General features: G+C 42.9%; 1 annotated feature.

The window, feature by feature from the left end:
- Window positions 3,868-4,162: a silencer, noted in NCBI's record as "tiled region #9495; K562 Repressive non-DNase unmatched - State 8:EnhW". NCBI's record gives its function as "represses a minimal TATA promoter and a strong SV40 promoter by Sharpr-MPRA in K562 cells {active_cell/tissue: K562}" and the evidence as "EXISTENCE:reporter gene assay evidence [ECO:0000049][PMID:27701403]".

Genomic DNA, 5,728 nt, shown 5'->3' on the forward strand with positions numbered 1-5,728 from the left:
ATAGCTCCTTTTCATTCATGCCAACTGACTAATAAGCTAAATTGTGCAAAATTACAGACCTTTGCCATATAACAGAGTCATGAGAGTAATAGCCCATCACCTTTGCCATATTCCATTGGTTAGAAGCAAATTACAGGTGTGGCCACACTTAAGGGCAAAGGCTAATACATGGATATGGTTATTGGGACTGGAATTCTGCCTATCACAGGATCTCTCTCCATATTCTTTTGTATGGTTTATTTTACTTATGTTGGTTTCATTGTACAGAATTTTCTGCTCTCGTGGAGAGAAGTCTTCCAGGAACAAGTCTCCTTCCCCGATTGGTATTGTATCCAGATTTGGTCATTATTGCTCTGAAGCTTAGAAACAGGGTTCATGGGAAGATTTTTACCTCCCTACCCTGGCCTTCTTATGCCTTCTACTGCTTTCTCTCAGGGAAAAGAGTAAGCAGGTATAATATAGAGATCTCACAAACAACTCAAAATCCCCACGGATAATGTGAAATTATCCCCAGAGAAGGTGAATCATGCAAGAAGATGTTTTTATTGAAAGCATCCCAAGCAGGAGTAGTTTTTGCCCTAAGGGAGATCATAGAAGAGGTTCCGCCCCCAAGGTGTTGTAAGCACTTGTGGTGCCGACTGTCAAATTGATACGTCCTCTTCTTTCAGAGAAAAACCAACTGCTTATCTCTTCCCCTCTGTGGCTTAACCAAGTGCCTGCAGGCCAAAGCAGCAAGCTTCTTGACCTTTCCCCACACTCCTGCAAGGAAGGACTTAACTTCTCAACCCTACCTTTTCAATAAGAAAAAGGTTTGAGGTTAAGGCAAGCAGCAGGGTTTTTATAAAAGATGATTTTGTCTCCACACTCACTCCTGGCCCTTTTCCACACACCTGCCCCTTCCCTGCCCCTCGCCCTGGTACTTCCGGCTCTTTCGCTGCCTGCCTCCTGCTTTGCTGGATAGTGTTCATTTTCACCCATCCCCCAGGCCTTCTGCCATCCCTCCCTGGGCCTGCCTCCAACACTCTCCTTAGTCCACGATATAGAGGTTTTCTGAAAGCAGAAGCCCTTTGCACTAAGACATAAACGGTGCCAAATCACCCCCACAAGATTGAAAGAGAACACTTTCAAAGAGAAGGAAAAACAAAGGGAAAGGAACACAGCAGGGCCACCAAAAGATACAAACCAGTTGAATTTCTGTAAGAGAAAACCAAATCTCCAAACCAGCTGAATTTCCGTAATAGAAAACCAAATCTCCACATCAAGGATGAATCCGACCTTGGGTGGGGAGGAATCTAGACCTAACACAGGCAACTAAGAGGAGGTACTGACTGTGACGTAAAGACCACATTCCTGAAGCAGCAGCTCCAGGGATACCCGAGCTATAGAGCTGGCATAGCAACAACGTCTTTCCAGACTATCAGTGAAAAAAGTAGTTGTCCTCGAGGATAGCCCAGTTTTTATGAATGTGGATCAGATGGGCCTGGGTTTGAATCCTAGTGCTATTACTTAGTGACCACATGATCCCTGTCAAGTCGCTTATGTGCTATATGCCTCAGCTTCTCGCTTTTGTGCTATATGCCTCAGCTGATAAGATGGGGGTAATAAGCGTTGCACTGTGTCACAGTTACTATTGTGAGGATCATATTGGATCTATGGCCTGTGATGTAATCAGCACGACACCTGGCATGTAATAAATGCTCAGTAAGTATTGTTCTTGCTGTTAAACTCTGTTGATCTGGGAGCAAGTAGCCCCAGGCATAATATTCCCCAACTTTGCCCTCCTGGCTCACTTAAATGTAACCAGACTGGGTTCTTTGATTTTAACTTGTGAGAGAGAAAAGAATTTTTTCCCTAAAGTTTCTGAAACTTAAACATTAAAATACTCACTTGAGGAGGAATGGGGTGATTTGCTCAAAAAGTACAAAGTTTCAGGTAGACAGGATGAATTACTATTGTACAGTCACCATGCTGTCCAATAATCTTCAGATTAGTTATTCAGATTATATATTTAATAAGTGTATTAAACACTTGAAAATTGCTAACAGATCTTAAATGTTCTCACCCCAAAAAATACTATGTGAGATGATAGATATGTTAATTAGCTTGTCTGTGGCAATATTTCACAATGTATACATATATTAAAACATTATGTTGTACACTACAAATATATACAATTAGTCAATTATACCTCAATAAAACTGAAAAAATAGTCACTTGAGGCAAGAGCTATGGAAATGTATCTGCCCCCAGATTCGGGTCTCCTAAGTAGTTTTTTTGGGGGATCAAATTCCATAGAAGCATACTGGCAACTCGACCTAGAGGAAAGCCTGGGCTTTTTTTCTACATTTGTGTAACTGATGTCTGAAGAACGTCAGAACAAACAATCAGGAACATTATAGGAACTGCCTTCCTGAAACTGCAGCAAGCCAGATCAAGTAATGAGCTCATTTGGAAACCCTAGAGACACAGTTTCAAGAAGAGAAGCATACAGAGACTAAAGGGGCCATTTTTAAGTAAAAGATAAATAACATTTTTAAGAAAATTGTTTATTTGGAAAGACTTCAAGCCTACAGTCAGTTAGTAAGATGCTAATTGTTTCTTCTGTAATAATTCCCTTAACCCTAAACTATGGTCAAGACCTTTAAAGAAAGCTTCTGCATTAAGTCAGACTCCATTTCATAAACACACGTACTAGCTCTTTTGACAAAGAATCTGGCAGGAAGTCATGAGCTCTGTTTCCCAGCTGAGGTCAAAAGTCACCAGATATGAAGCAGATTATAGAGAACAAAGGTAAGTCCCAAATTAAATTCTATCCATAGCTTGACTCCTAGAGGTCAAACCTCTAGAGCAGGTCTTAAAATTTAGTGTGCCTAGGAAATGACTTGAGATGCTTGAATTTGGGAGCCATATGTTCAGGGTTTCTTGCTTTGCTTTGCTTTGCTTTGCTTTTCTCTTTTTTTGAGTCGGGGTCTCACTTTGTCACCCAGGCTGAAGTGCAGTGGTGCAGTCATGGCTCACTGCAGCCTCAATCTTCCAGGCTAAGGTGAACCTCCCACCTCAGCCGCACAAGTAGCTGGAACCACACGCATGCGCCACCATGCCTGGCTAATTTTTGTATTTTTGGTAGAGGTACAGTTTTGTCATGTTGCCTAGGCTAGTCTCAAACTCCTGAGCTCAAGCGAACCGCCAGCCTAGGCCTCCCAAAGTGCTGAGATTAAAGGCGTGAGCCACTGCGCCGAGCCAGTTTTTTTCTATTGATTCATAATAATTGTACATATTTATGGGGTACACAGTGGTGTTTTGATACAATGTACAGTGATCAGATCAGGGCAATTAGCATATCCATCATCTCAAACATTTTTCATTTCTTTGTGTTAGGACACATTTCATTCTTATTCATTCAGCAAAGATTTATTGAATGGCTTATGTGTTGGGTGTGGGGATACCAACAAGACCCCTATCTTCACCAAAGCTTATTGTCCAATGGGGCACATGAACAATAATCAGACAATTACAATGCAACACCGGCTAAACGCAACACTGTCATCAGAGACGATTCTCACTTACTCTTCAAAGATCTTCCCAGAAATCAGGGAGTTAAGCCAAAGAAACATGAGAACCAACATCTGTTGGACAATCGTGAGGTGCCAGGCCATTTGTACACACTTGCCCATTTAATCCCCAGGCAGGTAATGTTATCCCCCTTTCCCAGGGGAAGAAACTGTCCGCGTACAAAGGTGGGCTACTCTGGGCCTGGAGTCCAGGTCTTTCTGCCTCCAAAGCCCATGTTCAGATCCACGGGATCCGGCTCACAGTGATAACGACTGCATTCAAGGCTGTATGGCTATGAAATGGCACTGGAGTTTGGGTCACCTGGGTTTTCCAATTGATCATACATTACTGTAGAAGATGGAGAGAGAAACTAATGAATGAAAATAATACAGAAATGCACATAAGAAAATCCTTTGGACAGAGCCATTGTGAAGTGCAAGGAAACTCCCCTTCCACGGCCCTGCGTGGGGTTTCGTGGATACCCCTCGGGTCGAGGGAGATCTTGGCCACTAGAGGGCAGAGTGTACATTGAACAATCACAGCAAAAATCCCAAAGCCCGTTATGAGAAAGAGACCTAATGCTGCATGCTTCATTAACTATTCCAGTGCTGGTAAATATCTGCTGCCCTCCTGTGCAGACAAGGAGCAGATAAAAAATTTTAATGCTAGAATATGACACCTAATCACTGCATTTCGGAACACAATGTGGGGGAGGACTCTTCTGATTGTCTCCATCCATTTCCAGTATTCTTAGAATTATAAGCTGCACACAGTTCAATTAACCCTAAGATTGACGAGGAAAGCCTTCTCCAGTATACTATAAACTTTCCCAATAGCATGAAGCACACAGTGAGTTTAAAAAAGTAAAGAGTTGGCCCTTATTGCCGATGTAACAGCAATAGCCAGACAATAGCCACAGTAATAGCAATAACAGGGAGTTTGGAATGGGCATAGGGTTCATTCCTGGGTCTATTTCTTACCAACTGTCACTTTTTGGGCCAAATTATTTAACCTCTATGAACCCCAGTTTCCTCAGGTATAAATAAAACCTACCCAATAAGTTTGTTGTGAGGCTTAAATTATTAAATACAAATTCTTAGCATAGTCATCAGTCGCTACTGGTAGCTGCTTCATTATGATAATTCATTATTAATAGTAATAGAGTTTTAGCTCCACATTGATATCACAGACATTAAAGCCTCTCCAAAGGCTGTCTTGCCTTCCTGTTGTCACAAAGCCCCTGCACCGTACTCATCATCTCCTCTTTCTTGTTGTAAATGAAGACATTTCCCTCCTCATCAGACAAAGGCCAGTTCTTCCATCTGCAGCCTGGAGGCTCCATCTTCCCACCTTCTTGGGAACTTGACGCTTTCAGTCATCATTTGTCATGTGTGGCTCCTGAGTCTTTACCTTCTCCCTCTTCCTTGCCTCCTTCCATTCTCACATTTAAACATGTTCTAGTCTCTTCTATCTTAAAAGCAAAAACAAGTAAACAAACCCTAACCTCTCCCACTCCCCACAGATGCCTTGAGCTACAGCCTCTATCTCTCCTCACTTTGCAATGAAACTTCTCAGCAGAGCTCCCTGCAAGCCAGTCCCGTTTCCTCCTGTCTACCCACTTCTTAGCTCATTCCAATGTCATTCCGTCTGCCTGCCCTCACAGTGCCTCACATGGCCACGCTACCTCCAGTCTAAGCTCTTCAGTTCTCTTCTTACTTGACCTCTTGGCAGCTTTGCCACAGGTGACCTTCTGAGAACACTGCTGTCCCTCAGGCCCAGGAACACCAAACTATTCCTCAGTGTCTGGGGCTGACTCTGCCATCTTGCCCTAGCCTATTGATGCTGGAATCTTCCAGGCTCTGTCTCAGGCCCTCTTCTTTTCTTATTCTACCCCCTTCTTAGGTGCTTTTGTCTATTCCCACAGATCCAGCTCCATCTCCAAACCCATGTTCCTGGATATCACCCCTGAATGTCTCGTAGGCACCTCAAGCTCGATATGAACCAAACTAAATTACCTCCTCACTTCCTGCACCTCCTCCTGCTGCACACACAGTGAACCCAGCTCTTCAGCAGTCTCTCACTGTGAAATTTGCATCCCCATGCAGCCAGGTATTTAAGTCAAATTTGGCAAACGCTCTTAATATTTTCATTTATTTTATTCCTCACATCAAATCAA

Source organism: Homo sapiens, chromosome 14, assembly GCF_000001405.40.
Source record: "Homo sapiens chromosome 14, GRCh38.p14 Primary Assembly".
Classification (NCBI taxonomy): domain Eukaryota; kingdom Metazoa; phylum Chordata; class Mammalia; order Primates; family Hominidae; genus Homo; species Homo sapiens.